Below are 25,165 nucleotides of genomic sequence, written 5' to 3' on the forward strand. Positions count from 1 at the left end.
CTCTTAACAGATACAAGAGCAGAGGCTGGAGTGAGTAGCTCGGGAGTCAGGACAGGGGAAAGCACAAAGACAGGGCGTTAGATTCAGAAAGCGCTCTTCACAGAGTATCTGTTACTTACCTACAGAGCACTGCAAGTCGCTCTGGCAGGTGAGGGCATTTCTGTGACACTGTAACTCCAGCAACTCTCCTGTTCTTTAAGGAATTCAATGTGTTAGCAACATATTTCTAGATTATTACTCTTTTTATGTTAAATTCAAAGTAAATTTTGTTTAAGAGCTAGCCCCCAGTGGGATAAATGTATATGTTAGCAATGGTCAGGAACACATTTTGGATTTTTTTTTTCGGTCTTAATTCTTTTTTAAAATTCAATAGAATGCATCAGGGATCGAACTCCAGAGTTTTGACGTCACCTTCCTTGTTTCCTTTTCCATCTCTAATGCCCTTTACATGTGCTCTGTCTTTTGACTCATGTAGAAAAGACATCTAACATTATTCATCCAAAAAGTTGGCAGTGGACTTTTGCGTGGTCCCATGGGAAGGTCACAGACGCTTTGATAACACTGCGTGGTAGCCATTAGCATTCGGACTAGTCACAAGTTACCGTTTTCATAGGGCATTTACCCTTGTATCTTATTTATCCTGTATTAGAACATACTAACTTATGTGTGTCCTCTTTATTTTATTCTCTCTTATGGCAGTGTTTCTGGAGAGCTTGTTAGAGTGCCTGTTCCTGAGCCCTTTCTGTAGGTATCCTGATTCCCTAGGCAGTGGCCCATGCTTGTGGGAAGCATGCCAGGTGTCCAGGAAGCAGGTGTGAGACCCAGCCTGGGAGCATGGAACCAGCAAAGTGAACAAGCCTGTGTACCACTTAAAGCTACACAGTACAATAGAGCGAAGCTTGTTGAACATCAGAGACCCAACTTAAGATGAAGTTAATATGCTGCCTATGGACTTTTGTTCTAATATTGTTCAGTTAACTGTCAATGCCCCTTGCCCTCTTATGCCACGTAAAAACAGCCCCACCCATCTAAATACAACACAAAAAAACACCATCCAAGAGGAGAAAGTTAGCAGTGTTCTTTAAGAAGGTCAAAGTACTTCTCCCTATGGAGGTATAGTCAACAAGATCCTATAGATTTGGGAATACATTCTAGGAACATAGCCCAGGAATAGGTTCCTTATGATAGAATTCCATTACCACAGACCTGGTCATGGAAATTGCTTTGCAGGCTTTCCTGCAAAGTAACAGTTTTTCCCAGGTTTTCGTAGAAGGCTGTAAGTGGAAAGGTGACAAATGAGAGGATACTGTCATGCTTCCAGCTTGCCCAGCCTTCTGCTCCGTCGCTGCAGGCTGAGCTGGAGAACTACAGTGCAAAGGACAGGGTTCCGCCACAGAGCTATGTATTTCATAAGCAGCAGTGGAGAGCCAGAGGCCTTGCTTATGTCATACATTTCTCTTCCTCATTTGTTAGTAAAGTCAAAGTCATCTAAAAGTGATTAACATTAGCCTTCATTATTTTATTAATTTCTTCTGGAATCTAGTTTCTGAAGACATAACAAGGGATTGAGATCTAAAATTTGCAAGTCCTTGACATGCATTTTCATGTCAAATAATCTTGTTGCTGAAGACATGAAAGGAAATTAGTCTGAGTAAAACTCTTGCCAATCTCCAAAGATTTTTACTATTAAATTTATTTCAGAAATGTTTTAATGTTACTCATAGAGTTCTCAAATTTAATATGGAAGGATTTCTACACTCCTTTTGTTTCAGAACTTCAAATTGATTTCTTGATTTGTTTTGAGTTACAGCAAAGATAAATATATAGTTTGATAGTCAAAGTTTTATGAATCTGGATTTATAATCTGTCTGGAAATTCAATTTTTTTTTCTACTTTAATGTCATGGCTGCAAAATATGTGCTATACAGCACCCGTCCCCCGGATAAGGAACCATGTTTAGCACCTCCCATATGCCAGGCCCCTTCCATGTGGATTCATGTATCCACCCAGTCAGCTGGTGATTCATGAGGGCACTGTTCTAGGTGCTTGAGATACTCATTTTCATCTCATTTAATCCTCACGATGGCTTTGTAATGTATTTATTATTATGCACATTTTCACGGCTGAGAAAACAGATGTTCAAGTGCATTAAATAATTACTTAAGGTCACATGACGGAGCTTCTTTGTGGAATTTGGACTCATGCCCAGGACCTGATGGCGTCTCCTTCCATTTTTACCAGTTGTGTAGACTGCTCCTCCTTTTTCTGTCCCGAGAGCTGGTTTTGTCTCTGATGCTTGACAGCTCTATTTTGAATCAGCAGAAATTTCCTTATAGATGAATTAAGGGACATTTAGAAAGCCCATGCTTTGACTTAAGGGAACCTGGGCTGGGAACTGAGAAGAGAGGGATGATAGGCATGCACTTAGTAGAATCATTCTCCTTTATTCTGGAGGACACATTATGAAATTATTAAATATGTGTTCAAATTTCATTTTGAAAAATAAAGTAGGAGGGCTGGATGAATAAAAAACTAGTATAGAGGATATACCCCACGATGAACTTTTGCGTTTAACTATAGATTGACTAGAAATAATTTCTGAGGCCGGGCGCGATGGCTCACGCCTGTAATCCCAGCACTTTGGGAGGCCAAGGCGGGCGGATCACGAGGTCAGGAGTTCGAGACCAGCCTGACCAACATGATGAAACCCCGTCTCTACTAAAAATGCAAAAATTAGCCGGGCGTGGTGACGCACGCCTGTAATCCCAGCTACTCAGGAGGCTGAGGCAGGAGAATCACTTGAACCAGGGAGGCAGAGGTTGCAGTGAGCTGAGCTCACACTACTGCATTCTAGCCTGGGCGACAGAGCGAGACTCTGTCTCAAAAAAAAAAAAAAAAAAGAAATGATCTCTGAATCTTCTGAATTATGGCCCATAGCATCACAATGTGCCATAATTTTCAAAGACCCTGAACCAGGAACTGAAAACTCATTGACTCAGGCTGAATCACTACCCATCGGCCTGGCATGTGGCTTCTTGCAAGCAGAATGTCCACAGAGCCACCATAAAACCAGAAACAGCCTGACAAGGAAATGGCCACACCAAGCCCAAATGTTCCACCCCGTGGAGGGACTTGGTGCCACTTTAAAACTAAGAGTGGCATGTGACATGAAGCCTACTGACTTGGTTAGCTTGACTGCTGTTCCCTCCTGAGCTGCGGGGGAGCAGACGGCGGCAGGGATGCAGTTTGGGAGCTGCCAGGACTTGTACTGTCCTGGACTGGTCATTCATCCGCTCCACAAGAAAGGTCACCTTATACCTGGCTGGTTGGTCCCTGCTGATTTGTACCTGTGAATTCATTTGTGTACTGATGTCAGTTTTTCTCTTTTCTTCATTGAAACAGACAAATGGTTATGATGGAGAATTGTATGGATCACAGTCCCTGAATAGAAGATCTGGCAGGGTTAGTATAGTAAATTTGCATGGCTCAAAATTCAAATAGGTTGTTTCAAAGCTTCTAGAACTAAAAACTAATTGCTAAATTTAAATTTAGCTTCTTTGCTGTTTTTAAATTTTAAAATCGGTCTGTCTTTTTTTTCCTAGCACATGATGGAATGAAAGATAATGTTTTTCAACTAGCAAACATTCTGAGAATGTTAGCCCTCCAACATTCTGATTGTTAGTATAAGGGGTAGATATTGATAAGAATCTCAAGTTTTAAAAGATCTGAAATTAAAGATTAACTCTTTCATTACTGTATTCCCCTGGGTGTATGTATATAATGTGTGTATTAAGTATATTCAGCTTTCAAAGATACTAAATCCAACATTTTCGCAGTCTCCACATCTGTCATTTGTAATTTTAATGTTTACCTTAAAGGCATGTGTACAAGCACCTGTGTTTTTCTGGAGAGGAAAAGGAGAATAAAACAATGCAGATGCTTGGAAGGCTCCCAGTTAAGGGGTGGGAGGCAGGAAGGAGCTGGTGGAAGGAAAGGGTGCTGCTCTAGGGGGAGAGAGAGGGAGTGGTGCCAGTGGCAGGGGCATTAGGGAGACCGGGCGGGGGTGGGGAGGGCTTTGGATTAATCAAGGACAGGAGGTCATTGGGGATTTTAGAAGGTTACACTGGATACATTTCCATTAAGCTTCACGATATCCCACAGGTCCATTCTGTGTGAAATGGTCTAAAAATTTCCTGTTCTCATGCTTCATTTTTTTCTTTTAGTAATATTCCTAATTGTGTAAAATAGTATTTCTTTTCATTTATCTTAATTATGTTATATTAAGATATCATGTGTATGCTTAAATTATACTTTTGGGCTTCAAATGAGTGACCCCACCCAGACCTTCTTCCCTCTCCCCGACCAAAGCCGTCTTTAGCTTTCTGAAACCAGCTGATCAAGTTGTTTTTACTTGCTCATTCCTATTTACCTATTTAGCATTGCATGCACTTTAATTATTTATTTTTTGAGACAAAGTCTCGTGCCCTCACCCAGGCTGGAGTGCAGTGGTGCTATCTCAGCTCACTGCAACCTCTGCCTCCTGGGTTCGAGCGATTCTCCTGCCTCAGCCTCCCAAGTAGCTTGGATTACAGGCATCCACTACCACACCTGGCTAATTTTTTTTGTATTTTTTAGTAGAGATGGAGTTTCACCCTGCTGGCCAGGCTGGTCTCGAACTCCTGACCTCAGGTGATCTGCGCACCTCGGCCTCCCAAAATGCTGGGATTACAGGCATGAGCCATGGCACCCGGCTGGATGCGACATTTTAAAAATGTATACTCAAGACACGTAAAGATGGCCTTCAGGGCATTTGCACTCTGTGGATAAGGGCTCTCCAGTGGACGGGTGGCAGCAGGCTGTCACACTCCACCCACCTTTCTGGCACCCCAGGGCTGAGCTATAGCCCGCAGGCGGGCTGGGCTGAAGAAAGATTGAAAATTTTGCAATAAATGGAATTTTAGTTACCCAAGGAGATAAGACAAGGAGTTTACTGACAACGCAGTGTGAAACTCAGTAATTACGAATCGTGCTAGGGATATGAGATTGTGAAAAGCAGTACTAGATACACCCCTGGCATCACCAAGACACAAACACTGAAGGTGAAAATACAGCTTAGAATCTCCAGTTGTTAAGAATCTCTGCTGTACTGTTTGTGCCTCGCGTCTTTAGATAAACTAGCGTTCCTGGGCTCCTAGTGTTGGCTCGGTTGTGCTGTTCCATGTTCGCCTTTTGAATGGGATGGGGGTGCTTTTGGAGTCGTAAGGAAGTGCTTGTCACTTAAACGTGTTTTCTTCTTTGGTGCTCAGAATTCCAGCTACAGCGGTGACAGCAGATTCTCTACTTTGTCATCATCCAGGGAGGAGAAGTTGGTTGGTTTCCATTTAAATCTTTCACATTCTCTTCAGAAACCGCAGATTTTGTAGCATGCAATCTTGTGTGTGTGGATTCAGCTCTACTTTTCTCTTTCGGTGTCTGTTTGACGGATTTTTGTTTGGGTAGCTGTGTTATTGACGTGAAAAGCAGCAGTTAACATGAGCTCCTTCATTCAGATGTACTCCAGTGTGCTGCGTTTGACCACACCAGCTCGAATGTGAATTGTGGCATTCAGCTGGCTGCAATGAAAGGACGTGTTTTTGTGTATATTTTCTAATTAGAATTAATCAAAAGGAAAAAAATAATTAGAAGAATGCTCTTGAATTCTTGAGAGTTTCTGAAAACAGAACTACTTTGAAGAGTACATGCAAACTTTGTGGTGGTTTCTTGGGCATGGACTAGACTTGGAAGGAAAATCCAGAGTCTCATCCAAATCCACATGTTTACACAACAGAGTTCCTTCCCATTCTCTACAAACATGCATCGGTCTTGATAAACATAATTTCTAAATTGTTTAAGAGCCCTAAAATTGCTAAGGCTTGTTGGTGTTTGTTTAGGTTCACATTTACTCAGCAAAATTGGGACTAGTTTAGGTAGGAAAATCAAGCAGGCCCTGGGATCACAAAGCTAAGCAGAGGAGGTGGGTGCTCTCCAGGCACTGACATCTAGAACAGAAGCCACCGGCACCGGAGACCAGTACAGGAGTGAACAGATGAGTAGATAGAATGGGAGGGAGACACTGGTTTTGCCAGGAAAAAAGATGTGAGCTGAACCTTAATAAATAGGAAGGGCCAGGTGTGGTGGCTCACACCTATAAATCCCAGCACTTCGGGAGGCCGAGGTGGGCAGACCATGAGGTCAGGAGATAGAGACCATCCTGGCTAACACGATGAAACCCCGTCTCTACTAAAAATATAAAAAATTAGCTAGGTGCGGTGGCACATGCCTGTAGTCCCAGCTACTCGGGGGGCTGAGGCAGGAGAATCGCTTGAACCCAGGAAGCAGAGGTTGCAGTGAGCCAAGATTGCACCACTGCACTCCAGCCTGGGCGACAGAGTGAGATTCCATCTCAGACAAACAAACAAACAAACAAACAAACAAATAGAACAAATGAAAAGAATAGGAACTAACCAGGTAGAGCCTAGAGGGGAAGCTCTTCAAGGTAAGTAGCCATTTGAGCAGAGCAGAGGCCGCGCAGAATGGGCAGAACCCAGGAGAGGTGCCATGTGGCTGAGCACAGGGTGCTGTTGGAGCTGTTCCGTGAACCTGGTGACTCCAGTAGCAGCTCCCACGCTGAAATCAGAAAATGAAATCTATGCAATTCCTCTGCGATTTCCTTTAGCCACTCCCATGTATCATTGACCTCATTAAAATGCTTCTAGAAGAAATAGCTCTGACCCTTCCCCGCCCTGTCCCCAATTTCCAGCCCCTATTCTCGTTTCCCTCCCGGGGGGTTGGGGGGTATCTTTTTCTTGCCAGGGCACTTCTTCCTCACCTCTTCACCCCTTGTCCAACCCCTTCATGTCCAGGGAGACTGCAGAAGGTGCTGGCAGCTCCATGGCGCCCACTGCTTGCCACCTTTCTCAACCCTTCCCATAGTCCCCCAGTCTGTAATAAATCCCCCCACTGTAAGCTGATGGCCCTTCTGTCCCCCAATATGTGAATTTTGACTCAGTATATGATCAGCTGTGAACACCAAAGCATCGGTGGGTTTAACACCTTGAAAAAGGCTTTGGGCATTTTCTTAATTCAAGAGATTTTGCTGTTGCAGAGGGCACTTAGTCATTAAGAAAACTTCATTTCCAACTCATTTTCGATAAGCTGAGTTACTTGCTCTAAAATAAAAGATGGCAATAAATATCTCATCTTTGGATATGAACGATTCACCCAAGTTCAGCCTGCATCTGACTCACTTCAGTCCATTTAAGAGAAATAACCCACATCCAAAGGGTTAAACATCAGAATGAGAGCTGACTCATTCAAACAGGGCCACATGTGAACTCGCCCTGAGCCCTGTGTGCCCGTGATTTGCTGCCCGAGGGCTCTTGTACTCACCCACCCTCAGAACCTTCCTGGAAATTGTGCTCTGTAGACATCTATTGCTGCCCAGTACGTGGTGCGTTTAATTTTATTTAAATATAATAATGGAAAGGTATCAGTGTAGAATGTAGTATTGATGACTCTTCCTAATATCAATTAAAATTTATTTCAATATTTAATATCAACTAAAATTAAATATTTTTTTCTGTGCGTGAACTCAAAAGTCCTAATTTGGCCCCATCTCCTAGTTTTGTCAGTTGCCTGGCCCAGCCGTCTTTATTTCCTTCTGACCCTCGTTCTCTCCCTCCCCCGTGAGTGCATGCCTGTTACTGTTTTGGTTGTATAAGGTAATCGTCTCTGAACTCACTGGACTGATGTACCTTTGCGATGCCGTGAGGGTGTGAGCCTCTCTCTCCTCTCTGCTGCCCATTTGCTCTGATTACAGGGACTCTCCGGCTCCAGCCTTGGGCTTGCCGGTGGTGGCCTGGCTCCCACACCCCTGTCTGCCCCAAATGGAAGCTGGGTCTGTCTCCTTTTCACATCACTTTGTCGCTCCTTCCCTTTCCTTCTGTGCATCACTTTAATTGCTGATTACATTTAGTGGATAGTTCAGCCTCCTCTACACAAAGTCACAAGAGCAAAGCTTAGCAACTGTTTTAATTGGCTTGACTAGTTTGCTAAGACTTTTGTCAATCTTTTAGAAAAACCATGTCAAATAAGTTAGAACCTATATAGAAAAGGAGACTTAAGGAAAAGGAGGGTTTTATTAAATGCATATTTTCAAAAACTCGAGTCCAAAAAATTGGTCTCTTGGGTCTCTCCTCCTTTTCCAGCAATTGTTCCCCATTTGGGGTTTCATTTGTTTTTTTAAAAATATTTTTTCTCTTGTAAATGTGTCCAGGAAGCAATTTGGAAGGTTTTTGTGCCTAATCTGCCTCCTTGGTCCCTGAGAAGTGGACAGAACAGTGTTATTCCTTTGGCTGGGTCTCCCCGCTGTTTCCTGTTTTTACAAGGTCAGGTTCAGGTCCGGCCCTGAGGTGCTTGGCCTGTTAGCTATAGGTATCGAGTCTTATTCTAATCCAAGGAAGTCGGTGTCAGAGGTGAAAGTACACGTCCTATTTGGAGGTTGAACTGTCCCTCTCCCTTGCATGTCGACTGGAGCTGCTGAGTGATCACCGCCTGGCCGTGCACCTTGCCTGACTTGCTCAGTGTGCCCTGGAAATGAGTCCAGATTCTGTCCCGTGGCACAGTCTCTGGACACTGGGAGCTGCCCTTGTGTCCCAGCCTGTCCCTTCACCAGCACTGCCTCCCCCTGACGTGTGTGCTAGGCAGGATTCTCCTTTGACAGGGCTAGACCGCGGCTCCTCTGGGGGTGCCTCCCACACCAGCTGAGGCAGCCTTGCAGTGACTCCCTTTGTGTCTTGAAGACTGTCGCTGGGCCCCTGGCATAGAAATAAAGACTCTTCCTGCTCCTGTCTTCATGTGTGGACATCTGCGTATTGAATACTGCCAAGTGTGTCGTTAACCTTGGATTTGAGCTGTGGGTTTTGTTGCTGTTGTTGTGTTGACCTTGTCACCATTCTGTCTCATCCCCTGACCCTTTCTTCCAGGAATGCCTGAAATGACTAGAAATGATCGTGTTTTAAAGATGCTGGGAAGTTTACTGTTTTAAAGTTAAAAATCATCTCAGTTATCTTTCTTGTAAATTTTGGATTTGCATCTATCAAATTTGCAGAAAACACGGTGCCTCGATCGGTTTGTTTCTGTTTAACCACTGTACAGCAGTTGGCTATGGTGAATGCTGAAACTATCGTGATGGCCTTTTGCTGTCATTTGTTGCTGTTTTTTCAAGGCTTTTAAAACCTGCCATTTGCTTTCATCCTCCAGCCCTCCTGTCTGTACAGCGCTGCCCGGCCTTCGGGGAGTTACCGGGTGCGTGTGCTGCCCACCCTGCTGCCCCGCACCCCCTCCCACTGTGCATGCACCGCCCCCACCAAGCCCAGAGCCGGGGATGTGCCTGTTCCCAGCCCCCTGGGGGAAGTTGCACCTTCACGTGGAGCTTACATGTGCCAGTGGGGAATGTCTGTCCCCTTTGGCCAGATCTGGGTTTTCTCTCCCCCGATTGTTGACTGTAGCTGCCACACTGCTCTGTCTCCAGGAAGCCTTGTGTTTGCTGGGATCGTTAGGCAGGAATGGAACAACAGCAATGTTTACTTTACCTATTGGCAGAAAGAATGGTGGCTTTTTAATGCTTTGGTAACCTGGACAGATACTAATCCATGTTACTATATTACTTTGGAAATTTCCAGTTTTAAATATAAGTACTTATGCTATGCAAGAAACGTAAAGTAAATACTCAAAGTAGCTATATTGTCTTGTTAATAACCTTTTTTTTTTTTTTTTTTTTTTTTGGAGACAGAATCTCCCTCTGTCACCCAGGCTGGAGTGCAAGGGCACGATCTCGGCTCAGTGCAACCTACGCCTCCCAGGTTCAAGTGAGTCTCCTGCCTCAGCCTCCTGGGTAGCTGGGATTACAGGCACGTGTCACCACACCCAGTTACTTTTTGTGTTTTCAGTAGAGACGGGTTTCACCACGTTGGCCAGGCTGGTCTCAAACTCCCGACCTCAGGTGATCTGCCTGCCTCGGCCTCCCAGAGTGCTAGGATTACAGGCATGAGCCACCACACCCAGCCATTAATAACTTTCTGAATTTCCATCAGATTGCATACTTATGTGTTTGATATATTAATAAATGGCTGAGCAAACTAGTATGTCCTCAAGGGAAAATAGGGAAATTAAAGTTCCTTTATACCGGGCAAAGTTTGACATCACCATTTGTGGCAGTGTAAGCTCCTGTTTACCCACGTTGATTAATTAAGTAGCATTTTCCAGTTAACCAATTACTCTTTCTTCTACTTAGCAACTTTTAAAGGGTTATAAAATATTTAACATTAAAACTATAATTAACATAATTTGATATTTTATCCCAAAGTCACTTCACATAAGAGTAATTTTCTAAGCATCAAGTATGAGAATGCCATGACAAAATTCAGGATGTTCGAATTATCTGCTCATTTTAACCTGGATTAACAAGTTTTCACTTAGGCCTGGGATGTTTTCCAAAGTAATAGATTTAAATGGTCTGTTGGAGATTACATTGCACACCTCCTGACAACGACTAAAACCGGTCTCTCCTCATTTCCTTGTCGCACTCTGCAACCCTTTGAAGAGCTGGAAAGGTGGTTCTCAGCCTCCCCTGCATGCTTTTTCAGGTCATGCTCCTGGCACGTGTCAGTTTTTCACAGCTCACGTTTTCAGCACTTTCTGGGCACTCTTGGAGAAAGGAAGAGCGCCCATCCTGACAGTCTCTTTTGGTCGCAGGCGTCTGTGTTGGATGAAGGCAGCTTCGGTGGGACCCGACGGGGCAGCACCTCCGGCTCCCGTGCTGTAAGGCGCTTTCGGTGATACCTCCTTTCCCCCGTGCCTGCTGCATGGCCTGGGGATGCTCGCTGGGCAGGGTCCAGCCGTGGGGGGTGACTGGCCATTCTCAGGAGGAAGCGCCGAGTCACCGGGCTAACCGCCACCTTCCATTGTAATGAAGGTCACAAATAATGTGAATCAGGAAACCTCTGGTTGTTGGTTTCATGTCCTCACTCATCAGGGAGAGTAACTTGCACTGAGTTTCATCTGCTCTCTCTGCAGCACGCCAACCATACTAACAGGTGGTGAAACCGTCTTCGGTTAATAAAAACGGGAAAAGGACAACTTGACAGACCACACATCATTCTCGTCCCTGGATAGTTGAGGAAGAGGAACAAATTTTAAAACTTGGAATGTTACGCATATTTCATTCCCTGTTTGTATTTTGTTGTCTCTCTACCTCTTTCTTCAATTTGAAATGATAGGCTCAGCTATGAGGGTAAAGATGTAATAGGTGCACCATAAACATTTGTGAATGAATGCGTGAGAAAAGCAACAAGGTAGAAAAATGAGATGGAACCCGTGGAAGTGGGGAGACGAATTTGCGTGTCCCAGGGACCTGTGGAAACGGAGCGTTCAGTGCTAACCGGTGCTCCCTGGCGGTGGATCTCCTGTATTCAGAGGCTCCTCCCCAATCCTATAAAAATGTCTTCAAGCCCTCCAGGAAATAGAAAGGTTTACTAAGAAATACTTGAAATGCTTTTATAATTTTGCTTTTGAAGTTTATCAGCTACTTACTTGACTAAATCCAGTTTTATGACTTACTATGCTATTTGTCCAGCCATCATGGATATTCATGAATTCTTATGGTGTAAGCCAGTCTAACCTACAGTTTTCTTTAAAATGTAATTTATGAATATTAAATCCAGTAGTTGACATAGCATTCGTTTTTGTCGACAACTGATTACACATTTATCAACTTTTATATTACATAAGTTGTTCAGTATTTTGCAGCCCACTATATAACATATTTTTCCCAGTTGGTAAACATTTTCATAGGCCATTAGAAAGCTCATAAACCATGCATGAAGAATGAAATAGCCCTGCCTATGATGTGATGGATAAAGCACAACTAATGATTTTCTTTTGTCAGAAAAGAGGGAGAATACTAATTCAAGAGAAATTTCCCCCAAGCACCAGGTGGTTTTCTGGTGGCTTCAGTAGAGAGTCTAAGATCTGGCAGGACGGAGGGCTCCTGATGCTCTCCAGATGCTACTGTGTCACGTCTGAGATGGGCTTCGGGAGTCGTCAGCCCTAGATCCTTGGCCTTCATTGCTCTTCTGCGAGCAGTGATTTCTGTGCTTTTAGCCCCCACAAGAATTGCCTGGGAGTGATGGCCTTAGAGAGTTAAGAAAACAGGAGGTCATCTTGTCCTGACAGCACAGCTGCCTAAAATAGGGATGGTCAGCTCTGCTGTGAGCAGGAAATTAGCACCATGAGGAAGACGGAAGGGACAAAGAAGTTCCTGACCTCCCAACCTCTGCCATCGTTTCCCTGGAACCCTCACAGTTCCCCTCCAAGTGGATACTCCGTTCCTTATGTTTACAGGAGGGCCTTGGGAGAGAGCCACCCCTGCTCTCGGTCCAGCGTGTAGGGAGGTTATGGCCCAGGACGGTGTCCAGAGCGGCCCCGGCGCCCAGGCCTGAGGTCCCAGCCCCAAGTGGTCGTGACCTCAGGGTCCAGGCTTCCCCCAGGCCTGCACAGACAGCCCTGGTCCTGCTGTGGAGGATTTGCCCTGCCCCTGGAGGACCAGGAATTGCCCCCGCGCAGCTCCTGAGTGTGAAGTGACTTTCTTCGGTGTTGTGACAAAGCTGGGACGTAGTCATCACCAGTGGCATTGTCTGATCCAGGAGCCGAGGAAGTTGTTTCTGGCAGAAAGTGGAAATAAGAAGCCCAACATGTACCCCCTTTCCTAGTCCTCAGCTCCTCCATTTGGCCCACGTCCTTACTTCCATGTCACAGATGCCGGGCTAAGGAACTTCCACAGCCACGTGGCCAACAAGAGATGGAGCCATGATTCAGACTTAAAGCTTTCTGACTTCTGCACATTAGCCACATAACTCCTAAACATAAGGTGCACGTGGACCGTGGCGATATAGACTTTCACTTTGTTCTTTTCTGCGTGATTAGGTCCAGTTGGAAGGTTTGAGAGCTGCTTTTGCTTAGGGAAGCTGGGGTGGGCAGTAAGCTCTATTCACAACAGTTCACTGTGTCTTTGCACCATAAACCAGGGCATGAATGGCATAGGATGGAGAAGGATTTGCTGCAGGATGAAGTTTTCCTCTCTCTTACATCAGGAAACCCTCAGGCAAAATTCTTCTGCTTTAAAGTGTTGACATTAAGTGTTTTCCTTATTTTCAACAAGAATGCCAAAAAGTGAGGCTAGTAATACTGGTGATTTTCTTGTATATCTCAAATGTGGCATTGATGCTTTACATGTGCTGTGTACACAGCAGTATTAATCTGTGAATCTGAAACAACGTCTTGCCCCTGAGTGTAAGTGTATAGTAAACATTTATCAAATAAAATAGAGGTGGATGGGTCTGGGGAACTTGCCCATCTTGTCCACAGCCCTGTACATTTAATGCTTTCAATTGACATTTGATGGTTATTTTAGTCTACAGTTGAAATCATTCGTTCATTCAACAAGTATTTCTTGAGTTTGCCAGGCCTCATCTGGTCACTAGCCCTGGTGAGGAAACAAACTAAGAGATGGTATTTGACATGAGATCATGAGCACCCCTGAAGATCTATATGAGATCACAAGCACCCCTGAAGATCTGGATGAGATCATGAGCACCCCTGAAGATCTGGATGAGATCTGGAGCACCCATGAAGATCTGGATGAGATCTTGAGCACCCCTGAAGATCTGGATGAGATCTTGAGCACCCGTGAAGATCTGGATGAGATCATGAGCACCCCTGAAGATATGGGCTTCCTTATAATTCGCAAGCAGGGCACTTCGGCAGGTCCCCAGCAGAGCCTGTGAGGCCAGCAGAGGGTTCTGTGCCCAGCACAGTGCAGGGTGTCCAGGGGCTGGAATGGAGGGGCCTTCAGCAGTGGCGAGGCTTGCTATATGGTGCTGCGTGGGTCTCTCTTGAAGATGCTCCTCAGGACATGTCGGGATCCTAAATAGTGTTCAAATCCTGCCCCCGCCCCACCATGCCTTGCTCAGGAAGAATATGAGAATGTTTATAATAACGTGAAAATGTATCTAAGACTAGCAGATGTGAACATAAATCAAAGTTACAAGGGCGTAGCTTCCAGATAATCGAGTTGCTGGTATTTTCCTTTACCAGAAGTGAGAAAGTTCAGGTAAATGGATAGACAGATGTGTACATAGCAACCACCCAGGTAGAAGGTAATCTGGCAATTTAAAAAGCCATACATAATTTTGTATTAACCCTAACTCTCATTTTGCTTCCACTTGGAAAGATAGTGGAGAAGCAAAATTTTTGTTCCCTTGCTAAAGCGCCAAGCGCCCTGTGCAAGTCTTCAGTTTCTGTGCCGGAAGGCAGCTTAAGTTCTCAAAACAGTCATTTCCACATCCACGGGGTGACTTTCTGTGTCTACACTAGGTGTGACTGCACACCCAATTGAACGGGTGCTTTGTGTTATTTTCTTCTTCCTAACTCTGAGAAATTCTGTGTTCCTCTGATAATGTGATTGGCTTTTTTATTCTTAGCGAGCACTGATTTGAATATGCGTTTGCTGTCTAACCCTAACTCTCTTTTCCTTGCCGTGCGTGGCTAACCTCACCACTTACTGCAGCATGTTTTCTGTCGGCCTCTATTCTCCTTGCTCCTTTGCTGACCCTGTTCCTTTGTTTCTGGCTGCGTGTCCTGGCGGTGGCTGTGTGGGCAGCCCTCGGAGTACAGCGGCCACCTCAACTCCAGCTCCCGCGCCTCCTCCAGGGCCAGCTCGGCCCGGGCCAGCCCTGTGGTAAGTCGGCCTCCTGGCCTTGCTCCTACTCAGTGTCACCCTCCCTCCCCCTTCCCTTATCCTCCTCTTCCAACGTCTCCAAATTTAGAATATTACTCTGCGGTGATATTATTAGGATTACATTGCTCAACTTTTCAAGGACCGTAAAAGAAATTGTTAGCTGTGCTTAGAGATGGGGATCTTAGAGGAGGCAAACTTTATACAAAGGGAGAAAATAATATAGCCATGTGCACGGATGTGTGGTTTTCTTTTTATGATTTAAAAATTTGAAGTATTGACTGTTAATGCTTTGCTTGAAGTGTTACCTGTGATCAGACCCCGACAGTGTTTAAGGTAAAGCGTGGCCTGTAGATCCCGGGACGCTCCCAGTTTGGCCCCAATCATTCGTTACCCTCCTGGTTCTCAGATCCTTCGAAATGTGCAGATTTGCAGCCCTGCATCCTGCTTGTCACTCAGCGTGGCCCAAGTTTTGTTTCAGAAAATAGGAGCCCTATTAGGTCATCCCCAGCTTGTTAAGTCTCATTATTGTGTGTTTTCCCCTGGGTTGTTGGAATTTGACACAGTTTTACCTGATGTGATGCTTGAAGGCGACCCTATGACTCTTTTTAAAGGAAGAGTTTGCAGGACGGTTTTGGACTGGGGCTTGTGGGAATGGAGGAGGGGAGGTGGGCACATGGCCGGGGAAACAGCTCCAGGCTGCACGACCAGACCAGCGTTCCCACCCTCAAGAGCCAGTGAGAAACCTTGGGGAGAAAAAGCAAAGATGGGCAAGGCTTCCCTGTTCGTCTCCACTCATATCAAAATTTCCAGCCTGAGCTGGGTGTGGTGGCTCACATCTGTAATCCCAGCGTCATGGGAGGCTGAGGCAAGAGGATTTCTTGAAGCCAGGAGTTGGAGATCAGTTTGGCCAACATAGCAAGACCCCCCATCTCTAAACAGTAAAAAAAAAAAAAAAAATTAGCCAGGTGTGGAGGCACGCATCTGTAGTCGCAGCTACTCAGGAGGTTGAGGTGGGAGGATTGCTTGAGCCCAGGAGTTCGAGGTTGCAATGAGCTATGAGTGCCACTGCATTTCAGCCTGGACAACAGAGTGAGACCCTGCCTCTAGAAAACAAAAACAAAAACAAAAACTTCTCCCAGCCATCGAGAAGTTAAAATGTGGCTCTTAAGTTAGTTACTGAACACCATACTTCAGCGTGCTGATCCCTACAATTTCTGTAACGTTCCTAGTAATCAACCAAGAAGTCGCAGCGCTGAGACCTCCTGCTTGCGTGGATGTACCTTTTTTGGCGGGCTTTTCCTATTGTGGTGCTGGTGGTTTGTTTGTGTTTTAAATTAGATGCAGTCTTTTAAAACTGTGAGGTTTCCTACCTCGCACCTGATACCTGCATTCAGGTATCAGCAAATGCAGGTATCAGCTTCTTTGGGGGAAGAAAACCCAGGATCTCTGGCCACTTGACTCTGAGGCTGCCTTGCAGAACTGCACAGCCTCCACCCCACCCACTATTTTCGTGACCCCGAGGCCACGGCCCAGGTGCCATTCATCACTGTGCAGCATGGCTTTCCTGTGCTAGAGGAATGTTTATCTCCTCCATCCAGCCATGGAGAGCAGGAAAATAGAGTTCAATATGGGTGGGCATTGCAACGCCAGCGCCTCTTTCTCTGGGGGAAGACTCTCCCCTCTGTATAAGTTGCAGACACCCACTCTTGTCACACATTTGGCTCTGCCCACCTGGCCTCACAGGCATTTGAGTTTGTGTTCCACCCCTCCCCATCCCAGAGCCCAGCAGTCAGCAGTGAGAGAAGCCAAATGTGTGCAGGGAGTGCGAGGCGGCAGCTACCATGCAAACTCCAGGGGCACACCGCCCCCCAGTAATCTCTCCCCAGAGTGCATCAGGCAATAACAGGAAGATACTCAGCTGTTCATTATGACATGATTTCCCATTTTCAAACCTGACAAGTTGGTCTTGATGCTGTTATTCAAATAACTGAAAGTAAATGGTTGTGAACAAGGAATTTCAGATCACAGACTCAGTAAGCCTGGCCAGCCCCCAAGGCTGTGTCTTCCTTAAAGTTGGGATCTCTGTATTATCTCATACTCTATAGTAGAGCAATAAACATAAGCTGACTTATGTGATCACTTAAAACTACCAGGAAGAAACATTTTCCGTAATAAATTTAGTGTAGGATTGCTTTGTCTTCTCACACTCACTTTTCAGAAAAGAAAATGTAAGTATTGCCAGGCGCGGTGGCTCACACCTGTAATCCCAGCACTTTGGGAGGCTGAGGCAGGTGGATCACTTGAGGTCAGGAGTTGGAGACCAGCCTGGCCAACATGGAGAAATCCCATCTCTACTAAAAATACAAAAATTAGCCGGGTGTAGTGGCGCATGCCTGTAATCCCAGCTACTTGGGAGGCTGAGGCTGAAGAATCACTTGAATACAGGAGGTGGAGGTTGCAGTGAGCTGAGATCGCACCACTGCACTCCAGCCTGGGCAACAAGGCAAGGCTCCGTCTAAAAAAAAAAGAAAAAAGAAAAAAAAGAAAGAAAAGAAAATATAAGTATTTACAATTGACAGAAGAATGTTGTGGCTTTACTTTCAGTGAATCCCAAACACGCTTAATGCCCTCTGTACCCTCTGCCTGGTTCCAGTGAGACATGACAATTGGATTTTGTTAAGCATTGTCTTTATTCAAGCATATGATGAAGTCTCAAAATAACAGGGCTCAATATAGTCACTTAGAGATTGAAATGACACAAATTTCTTTGTCATACGAAATTGACCGAAGAGACTGAAATGATACAAATTCCTTTGTCATGTGTTTTCTAAATTTGTATAAAATTTACTCACAGGTTTATTAGATGATCATAAACAGAAAGATGTGAGTTCAGCCTTCCTGGGCGTCCTGGGACCTGATGGGGGTGGGTGATCTCCTTGTATCTGCTCTTCCTTCCCTGAATCGATTGCTCAACTAGCAAAGGTCAGTTGATTGCGGGCTGGTTGGCACGCTTAGGGAACAAAGGTCAGTCCCGCAGTGAGGGACAAGGCTGTCCCCCATCTCATCCTGGGTGCCTTACATCTGATGAAACCTCCCGTATGTGGTTCTTAGAATGCAGAGAGGTCTCTGTAGAGTGCAGGGCAGTTCCCTCGCGGATGTGTTACGGTATCCCTTGATTGATCGTGTCGAGAATAGAAAGACGGTGAGCACAGGCAGCATCCCTGGTATCTGAAGAGAGCCTGGGAGACAGAACTAAGCTAGCTCATTTCCATAATTTCCAAAACTCATGGTCCTCTTATACTAAATTGACTCCATTTCTGTTTTCTGTCTTGGGACATTTACACCATTGCTGGTATATTTTGGATCTCCTGGGACAACAGAAAGTGCTAGTGGTTGTGTTTGGCCTTGTTGATGGGAAGAAGCCAGGAGAGCCTGGATAGGACTCCCCGGTCCTTCTGCCTGGGAGGGAGGAGCAACAGGTCTTGGGCAGGGCCTGGTGTAAGCGTGGTGGCAAAGGTGAATGACCCTCCAGTCTGGCCTTCCTTGAGGTCATATGGAGCAGGCAGTGCTCTGAGGCAGGGAGTTTCAGAACCCGGGTTCAGATGTCACAGCTCTCATTCCTGGCTTGGGACATCTAGCTGGGCACATAAACTTCTTGTGCTTCCCCTGGAAAGAGGGGTCATGATACCCTTAAAAAGCAAAAAGAAACCCCCCCAAAAAAACAAAAAAAAAACATATGGTTACTTTATTTCTCCTTGGCTGGGGTTAGCCAGGGATGGGATACAGTTGTTGTAGCGAGAGCTCATGGGAAATGCTCCCAGGCCGGGGACTTCGTCAGGGACACGTATCCAGGGCCAGTATGAGTGAGGACAGAGGACAAGAAAAATATGAAGTCAGGGTCAGCCCTGCAGGCTCTGTAGGGAGTCCCGCCCTGGGTTTGGGAGATACAGGTGCACAGGTGAGTGTGTCACACCCATCAGAGGGGAGGGAGGGAGGGTGGTGCTGTTAAAGGGCAGTAGTAACCAGAATGAAGGAAGTGACTGCTTGTCCCACTTCGAGAAAATGAAAATGCTTCAGTGTCCAGAGACCACCACCAGGGACAAGACTTCAAGTTTTCTCCACCCACTTGGTCCTCCCAGGGTCCTTGGGAAAGCAGAGAGGGCATCAGCCCCATCTCAAGACAGGCATAGAATACTGTTCACCTCATTCTCATCTTCTCCCATGCTGTGGATGAGCTGTGTTTTCTTCCTCTCCAGCACGACCAGGATCTTCTCCTTGAGGAAGTTATTTCACTCATTCATTCAGTGTTTATTGAGCACCTAGAATGTTCCAGAAACAGGGCCGTTGTATGAGCAAATGCAGACTTGCCCCAGCCCTCATGGGACGCACAGACAGGGGCAGACGGATGCTTGTTGGGTGATCACACGTTGTGAAGCCCAGCAGCGGGGGTGTGAGGGGAGGCAAAGGTGCCTCGAGAGAGCTGGGATCCAGAGGTTTGACGGCCAGAGCTTGGGCCACACCCAAGCAGAGTGACTCCACCTAGTGAAGCCAACAGATCTGGGTCATCCAGGCCCCAAAATCTCACTGGGAACCTGGTGAAGCCATCACGTTTCTGAAACATCCATCAGGAATGTCCCAAGGGCAGCCTGGGTCCATATCTTCCCTCGTGTACTCAGAGAAGACAGGAGCAATGAACTCAGATCTCTGCCCATTTGGACTAGAAAAACAACACTATTTTGACTCATGTTTTTTGTTGCACAAAGAGGCAGGGGCAGGGACCAGGTGGAAAAACGGGTCTTGAATTACAAACACCAGAGTTCAAAGATAAGTCATTCAGGCTAAAGTAAATATTATTGGATTTAAAACCAAAAACCGTCACCCTAGTGGTGGACTGTGCTATCATTTAAATGTGAAGGAAAATTACCCTTAAAATGGGTGTTTTCTGAGCAGTGTTTGCTGTTTGTTTGTGTCTCAAGAAGGACCTCGCAAGGATGTTGCTTCGGTGATCCCTTTTTCCATCCAAGTCTGGTGTTGCCTGGCTGGGTGTTGAGGACAGGTTCCTTTTGTACCTGGGCCCTTGAGTAGGGTCTCTCTGGGTACGTGAACAGGTGCCACATATTCTTTCTTTAGGAAAATGGCAGGCAGCTGGAACATGGAAAACTTAGCGTTTTAGCCTCACCAGGCATCGTGTGTACAGGAGCCTAGATAGCAAACTCCTTTAGACACAGTGTTAGAAAGTTGGAATTAATAAAATATTTAATGTGCTCCTTGAAGCATTTGTTTTTGAAAGGAAACTTGACGTAAACTAAACTTCCACAGACGTGTTTTAGAAGTGACTGTTTCCAGTAGATTTTCAATGATGTCTGTATACACTCAGCTGTGGCTGTAAAATACAACACACATACTTTGTAAACCTGTTAGTGTGACGTTTTCACCCTGACCTGAAATGTTTAGTATCACTCAGAATACGAGAGTCATGAAGCTAACAGGCTGCAATGTGTTCGGCGCTGTCGCCCTTCCCGTGCAGGAGGCCACTGTCTGCGGGGTCCGGTGCTTTCCCGTCCTGGGCTAAGGTGGGTGGGCAGAGCAGCCTGGACCGTCTGCAGCCACCATGTCCTCTGGACCCCTCTCTGCACCATGCCCACCTCCTCCAGGCCCCCACACCATGCCATGCAGTGGCCGTGACAGTGTTTAGAATCCTTTCTTGTCTTCCATTTCTTCATCATTTTAGGGAGGAAGTGCTGTGCTTTATGTCAAGATGAAACACAACATCTGATTCCTTACCTGGCTCTGCTAGGGCTTAGGAAAGGGGGCTTGGTTAAGGTGGACTCTGCTGCCTGCGGCTTCTGTCCGGGCCCGGCCCCTGCAGCTGTGACACACTGCCATCTGGTGGACACGAGTGGGGCTGCGTGGCTTTCCACGGGGCTGAATAGCCTTCCTGTGTTTGAGGAAAGCTGACAAATCCTTTTTCATTCGGAAGACACACAAAATGAAATTTACTCTACTATGTAAAATAGAGATAGGTTAGACGTTCATTTGCCATCACCTTTCAACAAGAGCTTAATTTTTAGTTTTTCTCTGCATGGTCTCTACTTAAAAATATGCCCAGATTTTATTTTGAGTCCGTTGTGTTCTTCGGAGCAAGGACTTTTTTAAAATGATAAAAACAGCAAACTATGGTTTTTGGGGTTTTTTCCCTTATTTGATATTTTACAAATTATAAAAACAAATGATGTAGACGGTTACAAGCAAAACCATGCAGAACAAAGATGTGTTAAAGCCCTGCCCCCCCAAAATCAAGGTTTGTGGACCCCGTGTGTTTTCTTTCTCAGCTTTCTTGCAAGAAATACCAGAAAGAAAAAAGGGCTTGGGTGGGCCCTTCTTTTACGGTCTCAGATATCTTTGTAGGTAAACGAATGCATTCCTGGAGCTTCATTTATTTCTCCACAGTATTTATCCATTGCTGACCAGCAGCCAGAAAACATACGTTTTACACCGTGGAGCAAACATGCCACAGGCTTTTCAGTGGTAGTTTGGCAGTCTATTAAACTGGATTTTCATATCCCACCAAGAGTTAAACTAGCCTCTTTATTTTCATCTTATTAATATTTGTTCAGCAAACTAACTTACTCTAAGGAATAAAAGGCTTTGGGCCCAGGAGATTTAATGAATTTATTCTCCAGCACGCTAAGTGCTAGATAGATAGTTCACATTTCCTTGTTCTTTGAAATTTTATTTATTTTATTTTATTTATTTTTTTTTTTTTTGAGACAGAGTTACACTCTGTCGCCCAGGCTGGATTGCAGTGGCATGATCTCAGCTCACTGCAACCTCTACCTCCTGGGTTCAAGAGATTCTCCTGCCTCAACCTCCTGAGTAGCTGGGATTACAGGTGCATGTCACCACACACAGCTAATTTTTGTAATTTTAATAGAGACAGGGTTTCGCCGTGTTGGCCAGGTTGGTCTCGAACTCCTGACCTCAAATGATCTGCCCACCTCGGCCTCCCAAAGTACTGGGATTACAGACAGGAGCTACCGCGCCTGGCCTTGAAATTTTGATTTGAAAAATATTTCAGGAATATTTTTCTTTCCATGTGAAGTTGAGAACCACACTTGAATTGCTCCAATCATCCTCACAACTCAACATGGCTGCAGGGCTTCTGGGGCTCTGCCAAATGAGATGGTGCCCATCTGATCAGAGTCTGCCTTCGTATCTGTCCCATCGGAGTCTGCCTTGGTACTCATCTTATCGGAGTCTGCCTTGGTGCCTCCAAGTACACAGTTAGGCTGATGTGGCATGCACATCCGAAAAAATAACTCTAGATGTGCATTTCGACACATCAGCAAATGCAGATGGTATGGGCTGCAGATGGTATGGGCCACAGCTGGAGAGAGCCGTCTTCACTGCGGTATAGCTGGGCTGCACCCAACGTGAGAATGGACATCAGGGCAGAGAGCCGTAAGCAGCTGGGATTGTGGAAAGCGCCCGTGAACACATGGTCTTGGACAGGGCCTCAGGTGGGTCCTTAGCAGCTGTGGCTAAGTGGGCAGAGGGACCACCCCACCACCACCCTGCCCAAAGGGCTTATTTAGCAAAGAGGGGAGAGAGGCCAGCCTGCCCCTGACTGCATCCCACTGGCCTGAGGGATGTGGCCTCTCTGCCCCCATTTCCACTCCTGCTCTTGGGACACAGGAGACTGGTTAGATGAGAGTAGAAAGTTTATTTTTGAACACCCAGGTGTGGGGTGGCTGGGCGAGACCATCTGATGGCTTTGGGAGCCAGGCCGCAGGGTTTAGCTTGGATCTGTTGAGTAGGAGACCCTTAAACATGGCCACCCTGAGCTAAGAGCTGGTCTTGGATTTTGCTTTCTTTTGGATTAACCGAGTATTTTGTGGGATTCCATTTGATCCCTTAACTGGCTGACCAGCTATAACTCCTGGTTATGTTGTTTTAGTGTTGCTCCAGGTGTCGTTGGAGGAGAAGTTGAAGGTACAAGGAGTTTGCAGGAGGGAAGGTGGCAGTTAATGAGCCTTCCTGGTGGGACCGGATGGTGAGGGCAGGGGCATCTGGCCCAGCGTGGACTCGGGCCATAGATGGGAAGTGGTCATTTGGAGGTCACCATCTCTCTGACACCCTGACCATAGCACCTGCACCCCTGTGCTGAGCTGCAGGTCCCCGGCACCAGCGTCTGTGCAGCTCAGGTGTTGCTGAGCCGTGGCCTCCGCAGCTCTCCATCAGGATTTCTCAAGCTTCATTATGAATTATCTCTGTGTGAGCTCACAACGGTGACTGCAGAGTCCCAGGTCATCTCTCAGATCTTCTGAATCAAACATATGGTCTGCAGTTGCCGCGCATGTCTTTGGCCGATTTTCTGACAATCAAAGTGAAGAAGTTCTGAGCTACGGGAAGTTGGGTTGAAGGCATGATGGGGAAAACATGATTAGTTGACAGCTTTTCCCAGAGAGTTTTTAGACAAACTCAACCTTGGTAACCTTCTCAGTGGGCTTATGATAAGAACCTTCAATGTGCCAAAAAATAAAAAAAGCAGCACTCCAGGTAGTTAATCTTTGTTTAAAAAACCCTTCCCCCCACCCAGTCCTGCAAACAAACAAACAAACAAAAAAAGGAGAAAAAAAGAAACCTGTCTTTTGTTGGATGCTGAGCCGAGAAAGAAGTAACACCACTGCCGGCCTCTGCCTCTTGTCCCGAGACACCCTCATGGTGCAGGGCTCTCTCCAGGGTCCGTTCCTCATGTGCACCCTCTCTTGTAGTTCCACAGCCCGCTGTGGGTCCCACTGAGACTCCTACCTGAGGACAGGAGAAGAGGGTCCTCAGGGACGTCCAAATGAGGACAAGAGAAGAAGGGGCCTCACAGACATCCAAATAGGAGAAGTGTGAAAAGCTAAATTTGGAGTGTCCCATTTTTCTGCTTCTAAATTACAAAGGAAGCAAATGTTTTGTTTTGTTTTGTTTATCATTCATAGCCCCATCTTCATGTTATCCATTTAATGCTTTTAAAGTATTTAATATTTTGTCTGTTTTCGTCTACAGGTAGAAGAGAGACCAGAAAAAGATTTTACTGAGAAGGTAAGGAATCGTTCATAAACCTAGAGGGTCCCAAAAGTTGTGGATGAAATTGATAAGAAAATATGTTGCTTGGTTTTTTTTAATAAGGATGTTCCCCAGCGAGGGAACTGGACTAGAAAGCGGCCCACCTAACCTGGTATCACCTTCCCGGAGGTAGGCCACCGGGAGTCCTGTCCGGTGTGCGTTAGATCCTGTAGAGCAGGGAGGCGTTTATAATGGGCCCCACCATGGAGTTTAGGGTTAATCCAGCTAATCGCAGAGCATCCAGGAGGTGCCTGGAAATGATCCCCTCCTTACAGTTTACTATAAGCCCATGAAGAGTTTCCAATTTGGAAATGGAATTAAAGTAACAGTCCTGTGATGTTAGATTTATATGCAGTTTTGGTTTTGTCTGAAATCGCATCTGTGTTAGTCCGTTCTCACACTGCCATAAAGAACTTCCCTGAGACTGGGTAATTTACAAAGAAAAGAGCTTTAATTGACTCACAGTTCCGCATGGCTGGGGAGACCTCAGGAAACTTACAATCATGGTGAAAAGGGAAGCAGGCACCTTCTTCACAAGGCGACAGGAGAGAGAACATGTGAAGGAGGAACTGTCAAACACAAAGCCATCAGATCTCCTGGGAGCCCACTCACTATCACGAGAACAGCATGGGGGAAACTGCCCCCGTGATCCAGTCTCCTCCCACCAGGGCCGTCCCTCATCTTGTGGGGATTATGGGGATTACAATTCCAGATGAGATTTGGGTGGGGACACAGAGCTAAACCATATCAGCATGTGATCCTCTCAACGTTCCAGGGGTCTCGTAACATGCCGGGCCTGTCTGCAGCCACGCTGGCCTCTCTGGGTGGGACTTCCTCTCGGAGAGGCAGCGGAGACACCTCCATCTCCATCGACACCGAGGCATCCATCAGGGAAATCAAGGTGAGATGCTCTCTTCTTACTGACAACTTGAGAGAACCTTTTGTAAAAATCAGTCTTTAGATTAAAAAAAAAAAAGTTAATTCATAAAGTTCTGGATCTTTCTTCTTGGTCCTCTCTCCCTCACCTCCCCTAAAATACGGTGTTCTCCTAACATCAAGACCCAGCTCAGATAGTGTCTCCTGCAGGAATCTGATCCTACCCACTGACCCCCCAGCAGGGCGGACCGTGTGCCGGCCCCCTGCGCCCCTCAGCACCCGGGGAATACCTTAGTGAGAGCACTTGGCACGTTGTGTTGATGCACTTGGTCGTCTCTG

At 46.0% G+C, this 25,165-nt stretch overlaps 1 protein-coding gene across 50 annotated transcripts in view, besides 5 other annotated features; it reads left to right on the forward strand.

Annotated features, from left to right (window-relative positions):
• LRRFIP1 (LRR binding FLII interacting protein 1) overlaps nucleotides 1-25,165 on the forward strand; it is a 154,057-nt gene that overhangs the window by 96,887 nt on the left and 32,005 nt on the right. For 31 of the 50 annotated variants that reach the window (XM_017005262.3, XM_005246141.5, XM_017005263.3 and 28 more), the window contains 2 exons: nucleotides 23,891-23,926; nucleotides 24,726-24,851. In XM_017005262.3, coding sequence (XP_016860751.1) covers nucleotides 23,891-23,926; nucleotides 24,726-24,851 — 162 coding nt within the window. Of the gene's footprint in view, nucleotides 1-3,402; nucleotides 3,463-9,300; nucleotides 9,346-10,794; nucleotides 10,861-14,758; nucleotides 14,837-23,890; nucleotides 23,927-24,725; nucleotides 24,852-25,165 lie in introns of all 50 variants that reach the window. The other 19 variants (XM_047446295.1, XM_047446303.1, XM_047446297.1 and 16 more) reach the window with 2 other exon arrangements.
• Nucleotides 613-907: a silencer, noted in NCBI's record as "tiled region #7631; K562 Repressive non-DNase unmatched - State 23:Low". NCBI's record gives its function as "represses a minimal TATA promoter and a strong SV40 promoter by Sharpr-MPRA in K562 cells {active_cell/tissue: K562}" and the evidence as "EXISTENCE:reporter gene assay evidence [ECO:0000049][PMID:27701403]".
• Nucleotides 16,233-16,527: an enhancer, noted in NCBI's record as "tiled region #7730; K562 Activating non-DNase unmatched - State 23:Low". NCBI's record gives its function as "activates a minimal TATA promoter and a strong SV40 promoter by Sharpr-MPRA in K562 cells {active_cell/tissue: K562}" and the evidence as "EXISTENCE:reporter gene assay evidence [ECO:0000049][PMID:27701403]".
• Nucleotides 19,939-20,464: an enhancer, noted in NCBI's record as "H3K4me1 hESC enhancer chr2:238653055-238653580 (GRCh37/hg19 assembly coordinates)". NCBI's record gives its function as "activates a minimal SCP1, AML or CMV promoter by ChIP-STARR-seq in naive H9 embryonic stem cells {active_cell/tissue: H9 hESC(naive)}" and the evidence as "EXISTENCE:reporter gene assay evidence [ECO:0000049][PMID:30033119]".
• Nucleotides 19,939-20,480: a biological region, named in NCBI's record as "H3K4me1 hESC enhancer GRCh37_chr2:238653055-238653580".
• Nucleotides 20,431-20,480: an enhancer, noted in NCBI's record as "active region_17375". NCBI's record gives its function as "activates an Ori minimal core promoter by ATAC-STARR-seq in GM12878 lymphoblastoid cells {active_cell/tissue: GM12878}" and the evidence as "EXISTENCE:reporter gene assay evidence [ECO:0000049][PMID:35858748]".

This window comes from Homo sapiens, chromosome 2 (genome assembly GCF_000001405.40).
Source record: "Homo sapiens chromosome 2, GRCh38.p14 Primary Assembly".
NCBI classification, from domain to species: domain Eukaryota; kingdom Metazoa; phylum Chordata; class Mammalia; order Primates; family Hominidae; genus Homo; species Homo sapiens.